The sequence below is a fragment of the Homo sapiens genome, chromosome 14 (assembly GCF_000001405.40).
Source record: "Homo sapiens chromosome 14, GRCh38.p14 Primary Assembly".
NCBI classification, from domain to species: Eukaryota; Metazoa; Chordata; class Mammalia; order Primates; family Hominidae; genus Homo; species Homo sapiens.
The window spans coordinates 64072720-64098337 of record NC_000014.9 but is presented as its reverse complement, the minus strand read 5'-3'; the positions used below and the strand labels follow the sequence as shown (position 1 = coordinate 64098337).

The 25618-nt window shown below is 39.0% G+C and overlaps 1 protein-coding gene and 1 non-coding gene across 30 annotated transcripts in view, besides 1 other annotated feature; one reads left to right on the top strand and one right to left on the bottom strand.

Moving 5' to 3' along the window:
- The window catches only part of SYNE2 (spectrin repeat containing nuclear envelope protein 2), a 464854-nt gene that overhangs the window by 128112 nt on the left and 311124 nt on the right, over nt 1–25618 (bottom strand). For 28 of the 29 annotated variants that reach the window (XM_047431152.1, XM_011536576.3, XM_047431149.1 and 25 more), the window contains 10 exons: nt 24202–24370; nt 22238–22393; nt 19732–19872; nt 17700–17882; nt 16758–16895; nt 10482–10667; nt 8642–8764; nt 7290–7472; nt 4858–4989; nt 192–389 (listed from right to left, as the gene is read on the bottom strand). In XM_047431152.1, the coding sequence (XP_047287108.1) occupies nt 192–389; nt 4858–4989; nt 7290–7472; nt 8642–8764; nt 10482–10667; nt 16758–16895; nt 17700–17882; nt 19732–19872; nt 22238–22393; nt 24202–24370 (1609 nt within the window). Of the gene's footprint in view, nt 1–191; nt 390–4857; nt 4990–7289; nt 7473–8641; nt 8765–10481; nt 10668–15618; nt 15915–16757; nt 16896–17699; nt 17883–19731; nt 19873–22237; nt 22394–24201; nt 24371–25618 lie in introns of those variants that run through there. The other variant, XM_011536584.3, reaches the window with a different exon arrangement.
- On the top strand, nt 3213–3314 carry MIR548H1 (microRNA 548h-1). Its single transcript, NR_031677.1, has one exon. It is a non-coding gene; the product is annotated as a microRNA 548h-1 (primary transcript).
- Nucleotides 23648–24149: an enhancer, noted in NCBI's record as "H3K4me1 hESC enhancer chr14:64540907-64541408 (GRCh37/hg19 assembly coordinates)". NCBI's record gives its function as "activates a minimal SCP1, AML or CMV promoter by ChIP-STARR-seq in primed H9 embryonic stem cells {active_cell/tissue: H9 hESC(primed)}" and the evidence as "EXISTENCE:reporter gene assay evidence [ECO:0000049][PMID:30033119]".

The following is a 25618-nucleotide window of genomic DNA, read 5'->3' as shown; positions in this document are numbered from 1 at the left end:
GAGTCCAGAACAGGCACACCCTGAGGATTTATATTCACTAGTAAACAACCTCAGGTTGAGTATTTCCACTTTAAAAAATTCCTTTACTACAGGCCATAGACATAGATGCCACAGGTCGTTCAGGTGGAAAACACTACCCATTAATGCTCTTGTGGAGTGTGGGGCCAGCATTAACCTAAAGTCATACCCACCTTCCGCTCAGAAGCATCCCTCTCTGCCACTCCACCTTCCTCTGATGTTACAGCTGGCAGCCTATCTCTTTCTACTCCTTCTTGTTCTTGCTTCAAATGCTGGTGAAGGTTTAGTACGGTGGCCTTCAAGTCCACCAACAGGTCTTCTTTTCTCTGGTTCAAACTCAGAATCTGTTTCTCCATACGTTCGATTTCTCCCTGTGTAGAAAGAGTGTTTGCATAGGTTTGAGAAGTCTGAGGCCTCTGCAGGCCCAGAGCAGCCTGCTTCCTTTGGTACAAGGGCTGAAGATTTTTCTTTGCTATTTGGTTTACAAAGCCAGAAGCTAGTCTCTGGTACGGTATAGCTCCTTTCCATCCTGGATACAATTCCAAAGGTCCTGTGTAGGGTTTATAAGCTATAGGATGCCTCAGCCTTACCAGAGACCTTGTGAATCAGAATCTCTGCGGGTTGAGCCAAAGCATGGAAACTTGTAACATGCTCCACACGTGACTGTGGTGTGCGGCCAGGGTTGGGAGCTACCGCTCTAGTGGCCAGCTACAGGACTGAGAGAACCAGGATCCACGGGGCAGGGCCCCGGAGTCTGCACACTAACCAACACTGCATAAGTGCCTTATGCAGACTTTCCATTGTGTCCCAAAGCATATTAAAAATGCATGTCCCCAGGAGACATGTTCCCATGTCTCTCCAGGAAATTCTTAAGCAGACTAACATTTGGGAACCACTGAGAGAAAATGAAGACAGAAATCTCATTCTTTTATTATCATCTTTGAAGGCTTCTTTGGTATTACTAAATTCATTTACTTTTTTTTTAAGCAGAGTCTATCCTGCTCAATCATTTACTTTTTCTACAGTAAAATCTTCCTACTAAATAGGAATAGGTAAACAAATAAAGGTACCATGTAGTATATCTTATTATGGGAATGATGGACAGATGATCTCAAGCTTCGTGATGTTACTTTTAACATTTATATTATTGATATGTGCAGATCAAATTTCTTATTCATGGCAGATATGCAGATGCCCACTGTATGTCTGAGATGACTATAGGATTATAGATTCTTAGCTTTGGAAGAAACAGCAGGTGACAAATACACTAACATCCTCCTCTCTAGCACCTCTGAGAGATGTCATTCAACTTGCCTGAGCTCCTGAAGTGAGTACTGCATCAGAAGCAGCCTGCTCCTTTTTAGAAAACCTTCATGTGTTTGAAATTTGTTCCTAATATATTCCTTAGACCCCTATTCTTTCCTTGTTATGTCTTCCTTTCTTGCTGTCAGTTCATCCATCCACCCATCCTACAGATAGTCATAGAAGCAATAATTTTCTTACAAAACAGAGAAACGTAATCTGTCTCCACCTGCAAGAGAGAGTTCTAAAGGCCAGAGAAAGAAGGTGATTTGTCCAAAGCTGCAACTAGCACACAGCAGAGCACAGGCCTGGGCTTTCTCCTGGCTGTACTGCACACATTTCTATGCCAATACCCCTATTCTGTCTGAAGTCAAAATTTCTGTGATTGCTTTTGGGAAATAACAACTGTTTGACTTAAATCTGAGTTGGCTGCATTTTGTGTTCCACTTTCAATAAACACTAAACTTCAGAGGTACACTGCCTCCTGACAAGAGCAATACTACAGCCACTAGGATAACACAAACAGAGTAGAGGCACAGTCCTACATGGAGCAGCTGCTCTCAAAGCAGCATCTGCAGACCCCTGGCCACAGTCCATGAGGTCCAGATCATTTTCATAATACTAAAATGTTATTTGCCTTTTACACCATACTGACATTTGCACTGATGGCATGAAAGCAATGGTGGGTAAAACTACCGGCACCTAATATGAATCAAGGCAGGAACACCAAGTATATTCGTTGTTACTGGGTTCTTCACTTTGATGTATTTATAGTAAAAAAAATTCCATTTTCCTTAAGAATGTCCTTGATAAAAATATGTGTCTTAGTTTATTTGTGCTGCCGTAACAGAATATCTGTGACTGGGTAACTTATAAAGAACAGAAATTTATTTCTCACAGTTCTGGAGACTGGGAAGTCCAGGATCAAAGTATTGGTACGTTTGGTGTCTGGTGAGGGCTGTTCTCTGTTTCCAAGATGGCGCATTGAAGACTACATCTTCCTAAAGGGAGATTTGTCGTGTTCTCACACGGCACAAAGCAGAAGGGCAAAAATGGGTGGACTCCCTCCCTCAAGCCCTTTTCTGAGGGCACCTAATCCCATTCATGAGGGAAGAGCCCTCATGACTCAATCACCTCCCAAAGGCCACACCTCCCGATACTGCTGTGTTGGTGATTAAGTTTCAACATGAACAAAAATGTTGGGGGGAGGGGAGGCAACATTTTTTGGGAGGAAAAAACATTCAAACCACAGCAGTATGTATTTTTAGTATTCTTTGTGAAAAAATGGAAAGTATGCATATGGCACTTCTGCTGCATACCAAGGGCCAATGGTTGAGAAAAAGCACTTATGCTACTGTTTGAGTTGTAAGCTGAACTATCCTTTTTATTCACAGAACACTATTTTTACGTGAAAAAAAGCCAGCTGATAAACTGTATTGCTTTCCTTAAATACTAAAAGATTTTTTCTGAAGAGATAAGTGTTAATATTAACAACTATGATTTAAAGAAATATTGACAATGTGTCAACATTTGGAAGATCGGCCTAACTCAGCTAATCAGGATTTTCCAAGTGATCGAGCGTGATGTTATAAAATCATGCATTGTTAGAAGATCCATTCGAAGTACAAAGTAGGCCAGTAAATTTTAATGTAAAAACGTATAAAGTTCATTGACATGGGTTTAGATTCCGTTTTACAATTAATACATACTTTGCACTTGTTGGGTTTTAGTATAGTTTCAAAGAAAAATGTCCACAATTATTCAAAAGGACTATTAAAATATTCCTCCATCTTCCAAGTGCATGTCTTTGAGAGGCTGGATTGTCTTCCTATACTTAAAACAAAACTACATGCTTCAGCAGATCAAATGCAGAAACATTTGCAGCACCCACATCTGTCCATTAGGTGGGTGCAAAAGTAATCGCGGTTTTTGTCATTACTTTTAATGGTAAAAACTGGAATTACTTTTGCACTGACCTAATATTAAGCCAGATATTAAAGAGATTACAAATACATAAAACAATGTCACTCTTCTCATTACTATTTGTTTTAGAAAATATAACTACTTTAAAAAAATGTTACTTCTACTACAGCCTGGGTAACACAGTGAGACCTCATCTCTAAAAAAAAGAAAATAAAAATAGTTATTCCTATTAATATGTAGTGGGTTTATTATTGTTGCTTAAAAACTAAATGAATGTTTTTACATTTCTGAGTTTTAATTTAGTTATCAATGGATATAATTCATATAAACAAAAGCTCTCTGGGGTCCTTGATTTTTTAGCATAAGGGGAAATCTAATATTTTTACAATACTGAGTCTTCATTACTGAGTGGGAATTATTGATCCACCATTTAACAGCTGTGTCATCTTGCACTCTCCTGTACTTCACTGTAGATGTCAAATCACTTGCCCCAGGTCTCACAGCTGGCGAGTAGTGTAATCTTCTTTTGAGTACCATATTAATTGCTTGCCTGTATCAATTTGATGGCAAGAAAAAAAAGCAGCTCTCTATTACCCTTAGCATACAATCACGTTTTTTTGTTGTTGTTGTTTTTTATTATAGAAATGCTACTTCAAAAACAAAGACTGAAAAAACCTAGCAACAGATGGTTAACATGCAAACCATTGTAACTGAATCCACAGGACACTGTTTTTTTATTTTTTATTTTTTTTAATTTTTTTGAGACGGAGTCTCACTCTGTCACCCAGGCTGGAGTGCAGTGGCGCGATCTCGGCTCACTGCAAGCTCTGCCTCCCAGGTTCACTCCATTCTCCTGCCTCAGCCTCCCGACTAGCTGGGACTACAGGCGCCCACCAACACACCCAGCTAATTTTTTTTGTATTTTTAGTAGAGACAGGGTTTCACCGTGTTAGCCAGGATGGTCTCGATCTCCTGACCTTGTGATCTGCCCGCCTCGGCCTCCCAAAGTGCTGGGATTACAGGCGTGAGCCACCGCGCCCGGCCCACAGGACACTGTTAATTCTGACATATGGCAATATGTCAGTATGGCAATACTGCTTAGAATATGGAATTCTTCATTACAATAGTATTCAGGGTCTTCACTGCTGAAGCCCAGCCTGCCTACACTGCCTGACTCTATCCCAGAAAGTCAGGTTGTCCAAATATCCTGTGTGTTATATCAGGTTCTTTGGTACCAGAGCAAATTCACATCAAAATGCTTCAAGCTGAGGCCATGGGCACTTAAAAAGCCCTCCATTAAAGAAGGAGATGCGGCAGCCCTGGCTCAGTTTCTGGGATTAGGACTGCCCAGGCTACAAACAGATAAGGCTTCTCTTGATCAAACATCAGGGGCTATAATTTTGTCACTTTTTAGTAATGATAATTATATAATCATCTATTTTATGAAATAGGGATGGAAAGTAAACACACACAGAAATACCTTCAATTGTTACAGAGAAACAGGTGTTACACTGCACCACTAGAAAGGCTCCTAGACACCAAAGGCTTAGTAAGTATTAAATAAATGCACTGATGGACAAATGAAACATACCTTTATGAATGAAAGAAACATACCTGTAGTTGTGGCAGCTTGTCAGCTTGGTCTGGTGACATATGTTCAAGGGAGAACTGAGCTGAATAATTATTTAAGATCTGTTTCAAATTTTCTATTTCTTCATCCCATTCATTGGTCTGTTTTATGACTACCTATAAAATAACCCCCACAAAAAAGAATCTTTGTCATAATCTAAGCAGATTAATGGACTATTTTCATTGTCTAGCCCCATGGAAGTTTTAATCACTCACAGCAAATATGCACCCATTGAGATTTCAATAGGACGTGGTAGCCTAAACAGAGAGAAGAATGTTTGCAAAGCTGACACCTGATCTTCTTGCTCTACTAGATGCCAGGGCACCTTGGGCAGTGCTTAAAGTACAAGTCTCACTGGACACACCTTTGCTCTTAAGTATTTCTGGTCCAGTGGGTTTATTCTGGAAAGCATTTTATGGCGTGTTAACATAAAGTTGCTAACTTTTGAGAAGTTACTGACAAGTCACATACACCATTTTAATACATATTCCATGGCCGGGGGAGCGGGGGGGCTTTCCGCATAGAAAGGTGACATAACAATTCAGACTGAACAGAGCATGTGAGGTCAGTGATGATGGGTTTTCCCGGTCCAGACTCATCTTCACCTGGTACCCCTTGGGATCAGTGATGTGTGTTTTACGAGTAAGAGGCTGAGGGTTCAAGAACAGTCTAAATTTGCAGAATAAGAACTAACCAGAACAATACCTGGCATCTAGTGCTAGGGGAGCAGGAAAGCTCAGACCTATCTGTGGACTAAATAATATGATTAAGCACGATGAAAAACAAAGAAACAGACTTCAAAAGAAAAACTAGATACTTCTTTGGTATGCTACATAATGAAGCAAAATGCCTTTTAAAACTACAAAGTTTCTAGCCAACACGAAATTCTTCCTTGTATTTTCTTTAATATTTAACTATAATTTTAGCCATAGGCTGGAAATGAATAACTATGTTCACTGTGCACATCTGTTCCCCAGCCCTCAATAATGAACTACATCCCGTTCTCTCCACAAAAGGAATTTGTCTTATTTTCTACAACGAGGGTACTTACAATATCTAAAGTAGAAATCAAAGGAAATGTACCATATTCTAATGATTGTCTTCACCACTGTCTTCCTTAGCTTTGAAATATATGAGGGGACATCTGATTGCCACCAGCACAATGAGATGGAAAATTTGAGCAGCATAGTTTGATACCTAACTTGGCACAAAACAGAACTGCCTCTTCTATTTCACCCATTTCGTCTGTGAAGAAGCCACTTGAAAGCATAGTTAGGACCGTGGCTTTCTTTTTCTGACCAGGAGACTAATAAAGCACAAAAGGATGAAAATAATGGATCAAATTTTATATTTTTTTCTCTTTATATTATTACAAGGTAGTACATTGAGTGCTAGATCTTTTTTCTCTCTGTAGGTGTTACAGAATGACATCAGTTGACCAGCAGCCAGACCAGAGAAACTGAGTTAAGACTCAAACCAGAGATTACAGTCTCCTCAAACCTTAGGAGAACAGAGTGGCCACCAAAATGTGCATGAAATTTAAGAGGGAAAAACATATAGTCATTTTTCTTCTTACAACCAGAAGGCGGTCATGAAAAATGAAAAATAACCCTTACAGTGACCCATCTAATCAGGAAAGGCAGCATGCAGGAGGTTGACGGAGACGGTTGGAAGTCTGTGCAGACTTTCTGCAACTTTCTGTTCTTGTGGGAGTGATTATTGATCCAGGAATACAAACTAAAGATTATTCCTAACTAATGATGATTCCTGATGGAGAGTAGTGATTTAACAAAACCCAACCACCACCACCGCCACCACAACACAAAACCCCTCTGGGGAGAAGATGAAGAATATCAGCTCTCAATATGCAGAAATGACACCAGGAGTTTAGAAACTCAAATTCTTGTTCCATGTGTACATAAATTAACCTCTACACAAGTTAACTCTGTGGTCTTTCAGCAAGTCACTTAACCCTGATGCCAATTTCCTTATCTGTAAAAATAAAGATAAAGTGCCTACTCTACCTACATCACGTTTGGTAATGAGAAAATCAATAGGAGAGTCACTGAGATGAACACAGAGATTACTATGGTGATGATTACTTTACAGATCTGTTGGCCTCAGAGGCTGCAAATGCCTTGTTCAGGTTTGACTCTCTTCCCACAGCATTTTGCCCATGTAGGTCAACAACTGTGGAATGAAATTAAATAGACCATAACTATGCTTTAATGTCTTAAAGGATAAGAACTGAGAAAAATAACCTTAGCTCCATTTGAGCATGAAGATATGCTTTTATATCAAATGCCACCTCCTACAATAATAGGATAATAATGAATTTCAATTAGAAGTGAAAACCAAACCAGCTTTTGGTGAACATTTTCATCCAGTAAGTTGGATGTCATCAGAAACTGCTTACCTTTAATAACTCATTTTGTTCTTGAGTCACATTTTCCAATAGTTTTATATCTTGTAAAAGCTGATTTGTCCGCTGAAACACAGGCAGAGGTTTCATTCCTGTTTGGGGCAACCTCAGTTCCACTTGGTAAGACACTATCTCAGCAATGGTTTTCTTCATGGGACGTATATTTTCAAGTATGACCTTAATTATATAAGAGGAGCATGTTACAGAAATGAAAAGACAATGGCCACTGTTAAATTTAATTATTCAAAATTAAAATACAGTATAGTTTTTATAGTTTGCATTTTTAAAATAATTTCTTAGCTCAGATTGAAAAGAACTATTATATCACTCATGATCCGGGAGTTGAAAGTCTCAGGAAAGAATAACTGGGGCAAGAGTAACCTACCAATACTAAATTACGCATTTGGACAACTTTTTCTTCCTTTTCTCCCTCCACTTTCTGTGTAGAACTGGCGTTCTGCTGTGTATATTGTCACTAGGCAGTGAGCAATGTAAGGGCAGGTACTGCCTCTCACTTTCGTAGCAACTACACCTAGCACAGGACTTCCCGTATAGTAGGCCCTCAAAAGTGCTTACTGACTTGAACAGAACTGTGCTGCATGAGTCCCAGGAGTATAATTATATTTTGCTTTAATAACATCTGATCCATAGAAATCTGGATTTATGTAACCAATACATTAGAAGAGATTACTCACCGTACTAAGTCATATCTCATATAATATCATTTCATTTAATCCTCACAACCCCTCGAGAGGTAAGTATCCTAACCTCCATTTCACAGGTGAGGAAATTGGGCTCACAGAAGTTAGAAGATCCAGGTAAGCTTAGTCTGTAAGAGGCAGAGCTGGGAACAGAATCCAGGCCTCCCTAGTCCTAAACCACATGCTCTCAATCACTAGGCTGAGCAGGGGATCAACATTTGCCTGCTGTTTAGTCATGTCCCAGCTCCTCTGTCAGGGGCTCTATTTACATTACAATTGGCCAATGTAATCTCCTCAGTACCAGTGCACGGATATGAAAGAGAATCCAAAAACCATTAATTACTCAGTCATGCAGCCAGTGAGCAGTCTAGCTGGGGCTGGAACCCAGTTCAGCCTGAATTAGGTGCTCAAGCCCTTGAGTTTGATTTAAATGAAAAAATAACCTATAGGAAAATTATCTTTACATAGGTGGTACTACAACTACGATTTAAATATACAGTTATAGTTATTCCCATCAATTTCCCAACCTTATTTTGCTATTACTCTGGTAAGACTAAATGCTTTTTTAAATCACATTATATTATATTTTGAAAAAGACATAATAAGTATCATAAGAAAATACTTTAAATAATAATCTATGCTTACCTCCCCATGTTTGAGATGTTCTTCAGGTGAAAAATCAAATATTTCTTTTGATAATAGGATAGTTTTGATTTTTGAAACTCTTTTTTCCATTGATTTTACTTCAGATTCAATAGCAACCACATCCTAGAATTTCAGAAGAACACACTGATGCAATATATATTGTATATTAATCATCTATAAAACAGTTTATTGGCATTAATTTTATTCTCTTATTTAGCCAAATAATGTCTGCCATCTATACCTCTGAAAAACTAACCAAGCACTATAGATAAATAAATAATGTTCACCATTTTCTTTCCTTTTTTTTTTTTTTTTTTTTTTTTTTTTCCTGAGACGGAGTTTCGCTCTTGTTGCCCAGGCTGGAGTGCAATGTCGCGATCTCTGCTCACTGTAACCTCCGCCTCCCAGGTTCAAGCGATTCTCCTGCCTCAGCCTCCTGAATAGCTGGGATTACAGGCACGTGCCACCATGCCCAGTTAATTTTTATATTTTTAGTAGAGACGGAGTTTCGCCATGTTGGCCAGGCTGGTCTCCAACTCCTGACCGCAGGTGATCCACCCGCCTCGGCCTCCCAAAGTGCTGGGATTACAGGTGTGAGCCATCGTTCCTGGCCAGGGACCAACAAAACTTTATAAGAAAATGAAGCAGTATGTACAATAGCTGTTTATAGTGATATCTTCAAATTATGAGGAAAAGTTAAATTACATGGACATTATTCTGTGCACCTACTATTTAAGAAGGTATATAGAATTATACAATGTATTTTAGGGTAATTTTCATCAAACATTATAGAAGCATTTAAAAATTTTGAAATGAGCTTCAGTAACCAAAAATAATTACTTTAACACTTACTATTCCCTGAAGATACATGAGTGTGGTGTAGGGAATGTAACTGAGTAACAAATGTAAATAATGAAGAACTTTAATTGCCTCTACTATGTGACTCTATCTTTAAATAAATGCTTCTGATGTTTCAAGCCAAAATAAAAATCCAGAGGCTGGCAAATAACAACCCCTCAATAAATATTTGCTATTGGTAAATAAAGACTTGGGACTACCTGTTTTACACTTGTTTTTAATTCCTTTTTGTGGAGAAGGGGGTCTTACTGTAGTACCCAGGCAGGTCTCAAACTCCTGTGCTCACATTATCCTTCTGCCTCTGCCTCCGTAAATGCTGGGATTACAGGCGTGAGCCACCGTGCTGGGCACCACGCCCAGCCAGAACTATCTCTTTTAATTCCCTCTTTCCTATCCAGCATTTAAAAATCAGTAGTATTTCTCTTTGACAAAGAGAAAACACTGAGCTTATTTTATCGGGATTCTTTACTCTTTAAAACAGACCACTTCTGGATTGAAAATAAGGAGATGCTTTTTGTTATAGTTACACTACAGGTTGCAAAGTAAAGTAAAATATAATTCCACAAATGAGAACATACATGACATTTTACCAGATCAATGTGCCTTCACATTGATTAGTTGTATAGTGCTTGGTTAGTAGTATAACTCTAATTTATTTGACAGAATCCTGCTCTGTCACCCAGGCTGGAGTGCAGTGGCGCAATCTTGGCTCACTGCAACCTCTGCCTCCCAGGTTCAAGCGATTCTCCTGCCTCAGCCTTCCAAGTTGCTGGGATTACAGGTGTGCACCACGATGCCCAGCTAAATTTTGTATTTTTAGTAGAGACAGGGTTTCACCATGTTGGCCAGGCTTGTCTTGAACTCCTGACCTCAAGTGATCCACCCGCCTTGGCCTCCCAAAGTGCTGGAATTATAGGGATGAGCCACCATTGCCCAGCCTCTAATTTAATCCTGAATGATTAAATGAATGGTGCAAACTTACATCAGCCATTCGCTGAATCTGTGGAAGGCTTTCCATTATTTTTTGTTGTAAAGCTGTTACTTGATTACTTAACTCTTGTATGGATTGGGTTAATTCATCTGTTTCAAAAATTATTGACAGGTCTTCTAGATCCATAAAGATTGAATGTAAAAGATTGTGCTTCTGTTCTGAATCTTCCAAAGCCATCTAGATAAACACAGAATGGGAAAAATAGAGAGAAACATCAAGATCCTGATATAAGCTGATTAATATTTAAATCAGAGAAAATTGAAAGTTATCTCAACATTTTAAACTAGTCATTTCTAGTTCGATAATGAAAACAGAACACCCTCTATTGTCAATGACAGTGAAAGACTTCAGAGTATCTACCTGTATAACTGTAACATAATAAGAAACATAAATATTTGGTCTTGGTCCACTTCTAAAACACTTGGAATCCTTTAATAATAGGGGAGAGAGAAGTGTCTTTTATTATACATAATAAGCCCTTTCATACATGTAATAACTTTCAAATTTAAGATGTCAAAATAGCTCAGCCACCTAATGAAAATGTTCAGCTTGATAATGTACTCTTCAGGTAATTCCATAAAAAATAACTGATAGGAGAAAGAACATTCACTTACACAACTAGAATTTCAGTCACAAGTCACTAAAACTAAGTGGGTTATTCAGAATTTTATATTAATCTTATTCAAAATCCTTATAGGAGAAAACTTTTAGGAAAACAAAACTTAAAACCAATGCTTTTTTTTTTTTTTTTTTTACCAATTATCACTGACAACAGCATCAAAAACCATAAAATACTTAGGAATAAATTTAACAGTATACATGCAAGAAATGTATACTGGGCCGGGTGTGGTGGCTCCTGCCTATAATTCCAGCACTTTGGGAGGCTGAGGTGGGTGGATCACCTGAGGTCAGGAGTTCGAGACCAGCCTGGCCAACATGGCAAAACCCTGTCTCTACTAAAAATACAAAAATTAGCCAGGTGTGGTGGCGGAAGCCTGTAATCCCAGCTACTCAGGAGGCTGAGGCAGGAGAATCGCTTGAACCCAGGAGGCGGAGGCTGCAGTGAGCCATTATTGCACCCCTGCACTCCAGCCTGGGTGACAGAGCAAGACACCATCTCAAAAAAAAAAAAAAAAAAAAAAAAAGACCTGCATACTGAAAATCACAAAACATTGTTGAGAAAAATTAAATCCCTAGAGAAATAAAGAGATATACCATGTTCCTGGATTGAATAGTCACTATGGTTGAGATGTTAATTCTCTTCCAAATTGATCTACAAATCTAATGCAATCCCACTCAAAATTCCCACAGACCTTTATTTAGAAATTAACAAGCAGATTCTAAGATTTATATCGAAATACAAAGGCCTTGATTTAGCCAAAACAAATCTGAAAAAGGACAAAGTTGTAGAATTGATGCTACCTGATTTCAAGACTTACTGTAAAGCTATAGTAATGAAGACTGTCATATTGGTGAAAGTATAGACATATAAATTAATTGAACAGAAGGGAGAGCCCAGAAATAGATGCACATGTATAAGGTCAATTGATTTCCAACAAAGTGCCGAAGTAATTTAATGGTGATTGTTATCAATAAATGATGCAGAAACAATTGGATATCCCCATGGAAAAAAAGAACTTTGATCCTTCAATCACACCTTATGCAACAATTAACATGAAATGAATCATAGATCTAAGAGAGTAAGAGTTAAAACTATCAAGTTACTGGAAGAAAACACAGGAAGAAATCTTTGTAACCCTGGGTTAGGTAAGGATTTCTTAGAATGCAACACAAAAGAATAATCCATAAAAGAAAATATTGATACATTGGACCTCATCAAATTAATAACATTTGCTCTCTGAAAGACAGTGTTAAAAGAATGAAAAGACAAGCCGCAGACTGGAAGAAAATATTTGTAAATGACATATATGTCAAAAGAATGGTTTTCAGAATATTTTACAAAAAACTTACAACTCAACAAGAAGACAATGCAATTTTTTAAATGGGCAAAAAAAATTGAACAGATACTTCACAAAGGAAGTGTACAAATGACCAATAAAGACATAAATAAATGCTCAAAATTATTAGTCATTAGAGAAAACCTGTTTAAACCACAATGAAATACCACTGCAAGTCACTAAAATGGCTAAAATTTAAAAGGCAGACAATATTAAGCGCTGTTGAAAACATGAAGCAATTAGAACTGATGTTGCTGGTGGGAAAGAAAAATGATACAGCCATTTTGGAAAACAATTTCTCAGTTTATTATTTATTTAAACACATCGTAAAAGTCAGAGATCCTACTTTTAGGTATTTATTCATTGAAATAAAATGAAAACATTTGTCTACACAAAGATTTATATATAAACATTCACAGCAGCTTTGCTCATAATAGCCTATGGTAGCAGCCTCTAAGGTAGCCCTGAATGACCCCTACCTCCTGGTATTCATACCCTTATATCAGCTTCCTTGAATGCAGGCCAGACTTACTAATTTAATTCTAATAAAATGTGGCAGAAATGATGAGATGTCACTTCCAAGGTTAGATTACAAAGACTGTGGCCCAGCCTGGGCAACAAAGTGAAACCTTTTTGCAAAAATTTAGAAATTAGCCAGGCATGGTTGTGTGCGCCTGTAGTCCCAACTACCTGGGAGGCTAAGGTGGGAGGAACATTTGAACTCAGAAGGTGGAGGCTGCAGTGAGCCGACATTGTGCCACTGCACTCCAGCCTGGGTGACAGAGCAAGACCCTGTCTCTAAAAGAAAAAAAAAAAATGTGGCTTCTGTCTTGACAGCTCTCTCTCACTCTCTTGGAGATTGTTTATGCTGAGGGAAGCCAGCTGCCATGGTGTGAGGCAGACTCCTGGAGGAGCCCACGTGTCTGTAAGTAGAAGCAGATCTTTTGAGGCCTGTCAACAGCCACGGGAATGAGCTTGGAAGCAGATCCCACCTCCTCCCTCACACAAGTCGAGCCTTCAGATGAGCCTGCAGCCTTTGTCGACACCTTGACCGCATTCTCATGAGAGACCTTGAGCCAGAGATACTTAGCTAAGCCATGCCCATGGACTCCTGACCCACAGAAACTGTGATAATAAGTTTGTTGTTTCAAGCTGCTAACTTATGGAGTAATATGTTACACAAAAATAGCTAATATATAGCTCAAAACTGGAAGCAACCCAAATATCTATTAACTGGTAGATAAACAAACTACTCATTTCCAAACTTATTTCCAAAACTGGAACACTACTTGGCAATCAAATAATTAACTATGCATTAAGTGTAACAACCTGGATGAATCTCAAAGGCATTATGTTAAGTGAAACAAGTGAGCCACGTAAGACTACATACTGTTTGATTCCCTCTATATGATATTCTAGAAAAGGCAAAACTATAGTAATAGGAAACAGTGAGTGATCACCTAGGGTTGAAGACAGGTGAAAGGGGATTGACTGCAAAGAGGCAGGAGGAAACGTCTTGGGAGATGGAGATGTTCCTTATATTGATGGCGGTGGTGGTTACACAACTGCACTTTTATCAAAACTTACCTAACTGCTACTTAAAATAGGTGTATTAATATTTTTACTGTATGTAAATTATACCTCAATAAATTTGATTTAAAAAACAGGCCGGGTGTGGTGGCTCACGCCTGTACTCCCAGCACTTTGGGAGGTCGAGGTGGGCAGATCAGCTGAGGTCAGGAGTTCAAGACCAGCCTGGCCAACATGGTGAAATCCTGTCTCTACTAAAAATACAAAATAAGGTCAGCGTGGTGGCACACGCCTGTAATCTCAGCTACTGGGGAAGCTGAGGCAGAAGAATCACTTGAACCTGGGAGGTGGAGGTTGCGGTGAGCCAAGATCGCACCATTGCACTCCAGGCTGGGCAAAAAGAGTGAAACTCCGTCTCAAAAAAAAAAAAAAATTAGTTTTCTATTTTTATAATGTCATTTTATGAATGTATGTTTCAGTTATTCTTACAACAGTAGTATTTGTGGAATTATCTTTAGGTTACAAAGACCTGTTTTAACAAATGCAATCCAGGTAGAAGGGTATAGTGCAATTAAAACAAACATTTAAAGCTTAGTTGAGAGTTCTGACACTTCTTTAAAAGTCAATATAAAAACTAATACCTGAATATGCTAGAAAATGGAAAAGGGCATCCTAAAAGTAAGATTATTGCACAAATGAGGATTTCACATAGGACTAGTTATTTGGGACTTACTTCCCAGGAGGAGATTAGGACACATCGGGACACATAGAAATAAACCCGAGCCTTCCTTGTCCCTACTTCCTTTCCTCAGTTCTAGCTCAGAAAGAAAGTCTAGCAATTTAGAATGTCCTGAAGTTTGAGAGATGCTTTTACATTTTTACATGTGTATCAGTAGAAGGTAGCAAAATCCCAGCTGCTTTTGCCTGAGCTCACTTTTGTACAGTTTTTTTTTTTAACTCATAATAAGCATTTGAAGGAAAAAAAAAAAGCATCATTCCTCTCTCTTGTCTTGGTAAAGTCCTCAAAAATAGTGAATCAGGGAGGTGATAAAGAGTTTAAAAATGACAAACTTTGGGGATGTGGAAAGTTAATCCAAGTGGGGGAAGGCAAAAAAAATCACAAGCAAGGGGAAGAAAAGAAAAAAAAATGGGTAGAAATGCAGCATCTTTACAACTGTTACCGTAAGAAAAAAATATGCCAACGATTCTCAAACGTCAGGGAGGTCTGAGGTCAGCAGCTCACTTAGGAACACACTGTGCCATTCCAAAGATAAAAAAAGGAGCTGAATCACCTTGGAAGTCTGATTCTGTAAACACTGTTACCAAATAAGCTTTTCTCTAAGGGATTCCTTCTCATGGCAGAATAAGAGAAGGGAAACACACCTGCGCAATGCAACTTCCCTAGTACTCAGCATCCGGAAGATGTTTTGCAGCCGAGGCCTCAAGTGGGAAAACACTTTCATTTGTTTTGACTTTGTAAGCCAGCATGGACACGTGGGGCATGTGTGGAGTACCAGCAAGGACAGGAAATTTGGAATCATGGTGTGTTAGAAGTGGAAGGAACCATGGGTTCGTTTTCTATTGCTGTGTAACTAATTACCACAAACTTAATGGCTTAAAACAAAACAAAGTTATCTCACAGTGTCCAAGGGTAAGGAGTCCAGGCATAGCTGAGGTGAGTCCTCCTTACAGGGAGCCACAAGGATGCAGTCCGGTGCCATCTGGAGCTTGGGGTTCTCTTTGAAGATCATTCAGGTTGTTGGCAAAATTCAGCTGTAGGACTGGGTTCCCTGTTTCCTTGCTGGCTCTCATTGACTCTCAGCTTCTAGAAAAAGCCTTTGGGCCCTAGCTCCATGGCCCTCTGACAATATAGCCGCTTTCTCAAGAAGAATCTCTCTGCACTCTGCTGCAGGCTGAGTAGCCCTTATCTGAAATGCTTGAGACCAGAAGCATTTCAGATTTTGGACTTTTTCAAATTTTGGAATGTAAGTATTATACTTACCGGTGGAGCATTCCAAATCCCAAAATCCCATATTAGAGAGCCTTATAATCATGTTAATCAAGTACTTATGGGAGTGACTACCCCATTACCTTAATCATATAACGTAACCTAGTCAATGAAGGGACTATCCCATCATATTCATATTCCTGCCCACATTCAAGTATTATTCTTTCAGGTCATATACACCAGAGGATGGGAATATTGGGGGGCATCTTAGAATTCTAACAACCAAAACCATCAGCACTATCCTATGCACATTCTTTTTTTTTTTTGAGACGGAGTCTTGCTTTGTCGCCCAGGCTGGAGTGCAGTGGTGCGATCTCGGCTCACTGCAAGCTCCGCCTCCTGGGTTCACGCCATTCTCCTGCCTCAGCCTCCCGAGTAGCTGGGACTACAGGCGCCCGCCACCGTGCCCAGCTAATTTTTTGTATTTTTAGTAGAGACAGGGTTTCACCGTGTTAGCCAGGATGGTCTCGATCTCCTAACCTTGTGATCCGCCCACATTCTTATTTCATGGGGAGAAACTGAGGTCCATAGAAGATATACTAAATTATCCAAAAAGTCATAAAGTAGTTATCAGGACAGTAAGAGCTGAATCCTGGTCTCCAAAATCCATGTCTACTGCTTGCCACTCTCTCAAGCTTCCTTCTGCCACTGACATGGTTAGCGGTAAGGTTGTATTTCAGGAAAGGAGGAAAAAAGCACCAAGACAATCAGCTAAGCCACGAATCTTTATGTAGATGCTATGAGTGGCAGAAAACCTGGAAGAACACTTACCTGCACAGTGCTAGCATGGTGACTCAGTGTCCTCAAAGAGTCATAGTCAGCAGGATTGGCCAGCAAATGACTGGTATTTTCTATCCAAGCCTCAGTGCTCTTCAGAAGGTCACTATATTCCTCCATCTTAACTGTGGCCTGGGAAAGAGATGCAGGACCAAACTTAGTCAGATGCCTTTTACTGGAGCTGAATGACTCCTAGATGAAGAGTCAATAGCTGTTAGTCAGGGGTGTGTCAGGCCTTGCAGATGTCTGCTCCCCATGGCTGGGGCTACTTATTCACCTGCTCTAGGCTATGACACTTCTGACTTTTAAGACTAACTCTGACCATAGGTGGAAAGGATTTAATCAGTTCTACTCCAACGTTATGGGCCTCAGCAAAGTTCTGGGTTAGCCTTGCAAGTATTCTGGTTCTCATTTTATGCTTCATTTTAAAAACTGGACTGTACTTTGTCCTCCTGTTCAGGACCTTGCCCTACAGTTCTTCTAAGACTAGGATGCTGCCTCACTCTTGCTAAATCACAGACACAACTCAGCCAACCACAGCTCCTATTTGGAAGGAGGGTAGAGAGGGTATCTTTTCCCCGAATGACAGTCTTTCTCATTGTTGTCTCCCTTACTAGACTCCTGAGACCACCTGCCCTAAATTCCCATTACTGGTCTTTATCCACCTGTTGGGGAGCCTGGACTTCCCAACAGTTTGCCTGGCTCTTGCTGTGGTCAACTTCTGGATTCTTGGTTCTGTCTGCCCAATCAGACTTCCTGCCTGCACTAGCATTGAAATCTGTCTCCTCAGCACCCACACAAGCCTACCATGGCCCCAGCTTCAAGTCCAAAACTGATAATTCAACAGAAACTGACTGTTTCTGAATATATTGTTTTGCTTTAACACCATCTCAATACCACCACATGATATGAAGCTATTACGAGTCACAGCCATACCTTATTCAACTGTGAGGTTCTACACTCTGCTCTCTGTGATACTTGCTGATACTGCTGGAAAGGAATCATCAAGTTATCCATCCATTCTTGAGCCTGTCCTGGGTCCTGTTCAACAATGTCCTGAACTTCAGAATCCAGCTCATTTAGTTTGGAATGCCATAGATCTAACTCGTCCCACATTTTCTGGAGAAGGAAATCGTAAGTCAACTTGAATGAAGAGGTCATAGTTTATGGAGGCAATGCCTGGTTTTCACACAGTATTTACATTTATAAATGCTACTAAAACATCACAGAAACAACATCACATGAACAGTTGTTAATTTATACCCAGCAATTTGTGATCTAAACTGAAAAACACTTTTCCTGAGCTCTCCTAACTACAACTGTATTCATTTCACTACAAATTAGCTGTAGGGGAACAGAAAGACCTGGACATTTTTAGAGATGACTGACACAAACAAGGTCAATATAGCCCTCATCTCTCAAGAGTGACAAGCAAAACATTCTGTTTAAAAAGGGCTTGGGGAAAGACTTGAACCTATTTACACTAGTTCATACACACACACGCACGCGCACACACACACACACACACACGCTCTCTTAATCTACAAAATAATTTCAAGTGAAAAAATAAAACAAAGAAAAATATCTGGGCTGGGTGCAGTGGCTCACACAATTTTGGAGGCCAAGGTGTGTGGGCTGCTTGAGGCCAGGAGTTCAAGACCAGCCTGGACAACACAGGGAAACACCGTCTCTACAAAACTTAGCCAGGTGTAGTGGCGCACACCTGCAGTCTCATCTACTTGGGAGACTGAGGTGGGAGGATCAATTGAGCCAGGGAGGTCAAGGCTGAAGTGAGTTTTGATCACACCACTGCACTCCAGCTTGGGTGACAGGGTGAGACCCTATCTCAAAAATTTAAAAAAAGAAAAGAAAATTATCTGCTGACTTGGGATGAATGCAGAGGCAGAAAGCTCTAGAAACATGTATTAGGAGCAACTGCTTTTGACTCAAGAAACCAATAGGTTGGATTCAAATCTGAACTTCGCTGGGCAGAGGAAAATTTCAAAGGTAAAATATTCAATTCTTAATGTTTGCTTAAGAACATTTTTTTCCCTATCTTGAGGACTAGGAAAATCTAACTTGTTAAATTAGGTTCCTCTGCTTAAGATTTGTCCAATAGTGAGCCATACTCTGACCTATTTTAAAAGCCCCAAATTATTAAAACATTTCCTTAAGACATAGATTAGAACAAGAATCCTTTCCCTATGCTGGAGTTTACTTGCGAATTAAGAAGGAGAATAGTGTTTATGTACAGTTTTGCCTAAGATTTTATTTTGTAAGATATTTTACAAGGGAAATAAATTTGGAATTTTTATTTTTATTTAACCTTTGCAGTCTAAAAAAGAGCTTTAATATTTTTCATATTCTATTGAATGATTTTTAGTATCAGTATCCCCAAGATAAGATCCTTACTTTCCTTTACTTGTGAAAATGCTAGTTCACAATCACAGGCTCTCAGAAGTTTGGGTATATGCCCACCATGGAAAAACAGAATTATTTTTTTGAGACAGAGTCTCACTCTGTCACCCACACTGGAGTGCAGTGACATGATCTCGGCTCATTGCAACCTCCATCTCCTGGGTTCAAGTGATTTTCGTGCCTCAGCCTCCCGAGTAGCTAGAATTGCAGTCTTGTGCCACCACACCCAGCTAATATTTGTATTTTTAGTAGAGATGGGGTTTTGCCATGTTGGCCAGGCTGGTCTCAAACTCCTAGGCTCAAGTGATCATCCCACCTTGGCCTCCCAAAGTGCTGGGATTACAGGCGTGGGTCACCGCACCTGGCCAAGAGAATAATTTTTAAATGCAACTTTCCCTATCAAGCCTCTCTAGGTGATGCCCCTGTGGATTTGGTTTACAATTTCTGTGCTTCAGATTAATTCAAAGAACTCACCCTGTGGTGACTGATGAACAAGGCAGGAGTGGGTCAGAAGTACCAAATGCTGAAGGGAGTTAAAGGAGGATTTTACCTTTTGAATTTCTTGAGCTTTCTCAATATTTTTGCTTTTCTGCTGCAACATCTTTTCAACATTATGAAGCCCATTGTTAATTTCTTCTATTTTTCTCCTCATTGCATATGATGGTGAGCTTTTTAAGACTTCATTGCTAATCTGTGAAAGAGACAAAGACGCATTTGGCTTAGAGAGGTTGTCTGCACTTTATTCATAGGTTCGAACAACAAAAGTGGTAGTCACTCTGTTTTAACTTGTAAAAATTTTTTAAGGGCTGGGGGAAGAAATTCTGGCAAATGCATTAATGAGAAGGTGGATAGGAAGACTAATAAATGGCAGGTGTGTTTACTTCACCTTTTAAATCTCATCTTAAATAAAATAAAAATTGGTTTTTTATTTGTACTGTAATACATGTATTGTAACATGTATTACAGATATATGCTGTGTTGGGCAAAATTACTGAGTGGATTGTGTGAAACATTTCCATATGGATCAAATGATATAAATGAATTCCTGGGGGATAAATTATTTTTATACAATCTTTCCATTTTATGAGAATCTATCTGCATAGATCTGTTTTCAGTAAAACCAAACTTACTCTCAAGCTGACTTTTTTAAAAAAATGTAATTCCAATCATAGTATTCATTTGGGTGAAACAACCTTCTAAAATTGCTATTTCTTGAGGATGCACAGAGCTTAATTATTCTCTGTGTAACCATTTGTAGATGTTTTCCCAGCCATCAGAAACTTAGCTACTGAACAGCGTAATTTTTTTTTATCTAAACGATTCTCTTAAAAAGAAACAAAAAAAACCTTGAGCTAGGAAAGATAATAAATGAATGTTGAATGTATCACTTTCCAAATACCTGACTGATGTGTGTTCTTGTTTTGCTATTTGATAAGGCTTTCTCCAAGCAGCTACTAAATAACCAAATAATACTTTATGCTTTTGTATAATCCTTTGTTTTGTAAATTAAAAAAAAAAACAACTCTATCTGTATAACCATTGAGACTAAAATCATCCTGTGCAGACAGTATACAGATGCTGAAACTGTAACACAGACTAAATGACTTGCTACAGTCATATGTCAAGGAAGTAGCTGAACTTGTCCCAAGAAGCGCCCAAGTCCCTAGATTGAGTCCCAGGCTCTATTCACAATATCAGGCCTTGATACTTTTATATCATGTCTTTATTCCCCAGACCATACTGCAGTCAATATTATTAGAAAAAAAAAAAATCCCACTTTGGTTCCATATTAGCTTTTCATGGCTGGCTGTGTCACAAATTACCACAAGAAAAGTTTTCTGATATTTTGAGCACTTATTCTCCTGGCAGAAATGTATACCATTGAGATACATTAGGACAGATCATGATTTAGGAAACATATGTAGCCATTTGAATTATACACAATGTTACTATGTCTGTCCCCCGGGATCCTTGAACTTCCTTTAGCTGTATCACACAATAAAAATTAGTTGCTGTTTGTTACAAATATAGAGGGTCATAGCGGAAATTTTCTACCTTGAATTTGAACGACTGATTTTGATTATTAATTTACTCTGCTAGGGATTTTCATAAGTATTCATGAGCATAACATTTAGTTTCTCTCAAAATATTTAGTATTTTCCTGAAATAAAATCAATAGTAACGAGATCCTTGAGAAAGTACGAAATAGGTTTTCTTGTGTGTTAACTAAAAAAGATTTGTTATAAATATACGTTAAGAGTTTACATGTTTTTTACATGTGAGATTTTCCTGAGAAATCTGTCATAGAATTAATGACATATTCTAGCAACTAAGTTTGAAATCTGAATTTTTTGTGTTTAAGATCTATTTTATTTATCAAGTTGTAAGTATTCTAGACAAAAAAAAAAAAAAAAAATCCTTCTGTGGATACCAGACCAAACAGAATTTTCTTCTGTTTGATATGGGCTGTCTTTCTACAATCTAATCAAAATATCTTGCTAAGCTCCTATGTTTCTAGTATTATAAAATATTTTCCACCTTTTCTTTAAATCTGGACTTTCAGGTATAAAGATTTGCTCAGGTACTTTTCATGAGAATTCTGTTAACATCATCGTTAGACAGACACTACATACTAAGTGCTATTCCTAGTGAGTTGTGAAATTTGTATTCTTATTGCCTTAGTTGTAATGTCAAAATGTTTCAAAGAATGTATTTTAAAGCAAAGTATTAACATCCAAAATGTTCAAGTGGTTGTACAGTGGTTGTACAAAAGCAAACAAAACCAGTAAAAAATATTATATAACTGTATTATAAAATGCAAGAGAAGAATAAGCATTTTGACAATTAAATACATATAAATCATCTAATTCTGTTATCTTATGTCACATATTTAGAGCATCTTTATCTTAGCATTCAATAGACACGATGGTCACTTAACTCTTAAAAGAAGTTATAGCTGAAATCCTGGCAAATGGAATTTGACATTAAATGATATTTTCCTCCTGATAGTCATTCAGCTCCGTAAATAATAACAGTAGTACAGACATTATTATTACCTTCTCATCTATGTCTTCTAAAGCTTTTCTGCATTCTTCCACCTGGGATTCAATCTCTGCAGGGACTATGGTGTACATTTCGGAATACTTGATTCGCAGTTTTTCCATAATATTCTCAAAAGTTAGTTTCCCTTTCTTAAGGATGCTTTGAAGCTCCTAAAAGCATTAAGAGAGTTGCAATACTCACGAGACTGGGGGAAAAGTTTAATTCTAAAAAGTGAAAGCAGCCTTCCAGCACATCCTTATGATTTAAAGGAGTGCAGTTTGCATGACAAAACCCCACTAGTGATACAAGCTGATTAAGCCCCAGAGACACTCAGTTTAGTCAGATGATGCTTTCTAATTTGTAAGAATTAAACTTGATATCTCTTCATAGTGTCACACCATTATCTAGAAAAGACATTACAACACCCCCTGCTTCTAAAGTACCTTTAGGATTTAATTGTATCTCCATTGCAGTCCTGATCTAAAAAGCTGCAAGCAGCAAAAAAAAAAAAAAAAAAGTTTCAAAGAAGTTTTTTGTTGTTGTTTTAACGTGTTGCTATTTCTACTTCTTCCTCCATTATCATCACAATGATTTAAGGCCACTAAAAGCCCCACACTTGGAGCAGAAGTGTCTACTTTCATGTAATTAGACAGCCCTGCAGAGCTCAACTGCTTTCAAAAGGGAAGGTTCCAGTTCCATACAAAGAATGTAGGTTTTTAGGAGATAAAAGAAACCTGAACAAATAGTCTATTGGTTGTGGCCTAGAAACCAAATCTGATCTACCTTCTCCTGCAGTAATTATAAAGGAGAAACTCATTTGTATGGGAAAGTTTCCCAAAGATCAAGTGGAAAAATACTTCTTGACTTGACTGTGGCTTTTTTGTTGTTTGTTTTGTTTTTACAGTAGCTGTTCAGTAGCATTATTTGTGTTCATGGATTGAGTCACTGTACTGAAGAATGATTACAATTTTAAATGACTCTGTAATGTGTCATTGTTTTCCTTTTCTTAATCCTCAGCAGAGGACAAATCTAGAGAGAGAAAGTTAGAGAACAATGCCATTCAAAGATGGGGTTTAATAAGTAAGTGTCATCCCGTTTTATCTACACCTAGTCCAGGAGTACAGGCTTTCATTCAGAGGTACACTTAGAAGGCTTCCCCATGAAGACTGCTTCTTTACTTTCCAATATAATAACCAAAAGTTCTGTTTAGACAGCATGTGACTTTTTTTTTTTTGAGATGGAGCCAGGCTGGATTGCAGCGGCACGATCTCGGCTTACTACAACCACCACCTACTGGGTCCAAGTGATTCTCCTGCCTCAGCATCCCAGTAGCTGGGATTATAGGCACACGCTACCATGCCTGGCTAATTTTTGTATTTTTAGTAGAGACGGAGTTTCCCCATGTTGGCCAGGCTGGTCTTGACCTCCTGACCCCAAGTGATCTGCCTGCCTGGACCTCTCAAAGTGCTGGGATTATAGGTGTGAGCCACCATGTCCGGCCAACACGTGACTTTTGAATAAACTTCCAAACATACTTTTGGGCTGTCACTATTGGACTGGAATGAAAGAGGAGATTCTTCTGAAGAAATGAGATTCCAGATGACCTGTAGGGTGTACATAGACCCTGTCAGAGACAAGGCGCCATGTCCTACTAAAGGAGTAATGTAACATACTACTTAAGAGTGGTCTGAGGCCCTTGTTCACCAAACACACTGGAAACATAGTTGAAAGAAGGCTGCTTGGTCCAGACTGGCCTACCTTCCAGCCTTGTTTCAACTCTGTTCTCTGCTCTCCAGCCACACTGATCTTCTCCCTTGGTTCTGCCCATACCATGCCACAGGGCCTTTGCCTATGCCTCTCTCTCTCTCCCCAGACCGCTCCCCCAAACCCAGCCACTGAGTTATCTCTACCCCAAGGACTTTGGATACAAGACTGTGGGCCTGTACCTGCCACATTCACTAATTCATTCCTCACTTACCTCAAATTGTTCTGACTTTTCTGGGTGATCCTGGAATGCCATATTTTGGAATGAAGTTGTGGTCTGTTGAAAGAAATTCTTCAAAGCAATTATCTCTTTTGTGAAGGAATGTCTTTCTTGGATTTCAGTCTGCACCAATTCTTTATTTTTCTGAACTTTCTGAAGAAGCCTAAAAGAGAACGTCAAAATATAATTGTTTCTTTATCCTGCTCTTCTATGAATAAAATGAAACAGTTTTATTGCAACAATTAATGAAATGCCTGAATAGCTACTAAAGGATGGTTATTTCCTCTAAGAAAAAAAGTAACAATTTTCAATAATGGATGTACCACATATAAAAACAGGTACAAAATCTACCACTTAATCAAAAACCTCTCCAAATCTTTCGCCTCAAATACTCTCTTTTCACACTTTACACTGTAACTGACATTTCTGTCCTCTCTTTTTCTCCACGTAATCCTTGAGCTCACATGAAAATGACTTAGAGGTGTGAATGGAATCACAGGTGGGCTCTTGGGGACAGACAATCCCACTGGGCTTCTTCTCTTAAGCTGACCCATTTTGCTATGGATGCAGCAAATATCAGAAGAGGCACTGAAGTGGGTAAAATCTTTCCTGAGGGTTATTTGGTAAGTATCTATGATATTGTGATATAATAAATATATACTTGATCTCTGCTGTAGTTCCTGAGACAGAGCTCTTAATACCCTTGTAGATAGGAGTGCTAGCTAGGAGAGTCTTTTGTTCTAATACTTGATTTTTGACCAGTTCCTGACACAGAGCTCCTAAGCCCTTTGTAATTTCCTGAGTGATAGGAGCATCTTTAGTTCTAAGAAGGCAACTCTAGGTGGGATCCTGAGTAGCCTCAGGATGAGGGCTGGTTGCCAGGGGAACCAACTATGTGATTAAAAGGTTGGAACTTTCAGTACCACCCCTACCTCCAACACACACCCCCAACCTCTGGGGGAGGGGACAGAAGCTGAAGGTTGAGTTGATCGCCAATGGCCAATTACATAATCAATCATGACTACATAATGAAGTCTCCATAAAAAAACCCAAAAGACAGGGCTCAGAGAGCTTCTGGATTGCTGAAAGCCTGGGGGTTCCACCACCTAGAGAGAGCAGGGAAGCCCCAGGCCCCTTCCTATACCATGCCTTAGGCACCTCTTCCATCTGGCTGTTTATCTGTATCCTTCATTATATCCTTTATTAATAAACTGGTAAACATGAGTAAAGTGTTTTCTTGAGTTCTGTGAGCCACTCTAGCAAATTAATTGAACCCAAGAAAGGTATCAAAGGATCCCTTGATTTATAGCCTATCAGCCAGAAGTGTACCAGCGGGGCGCAGTGGCTCACGCCTGTAATCCCAGCACTGTGGGAGGCCGAGGCGGGCAGATGACCTGAAGTCAGGCGTTCG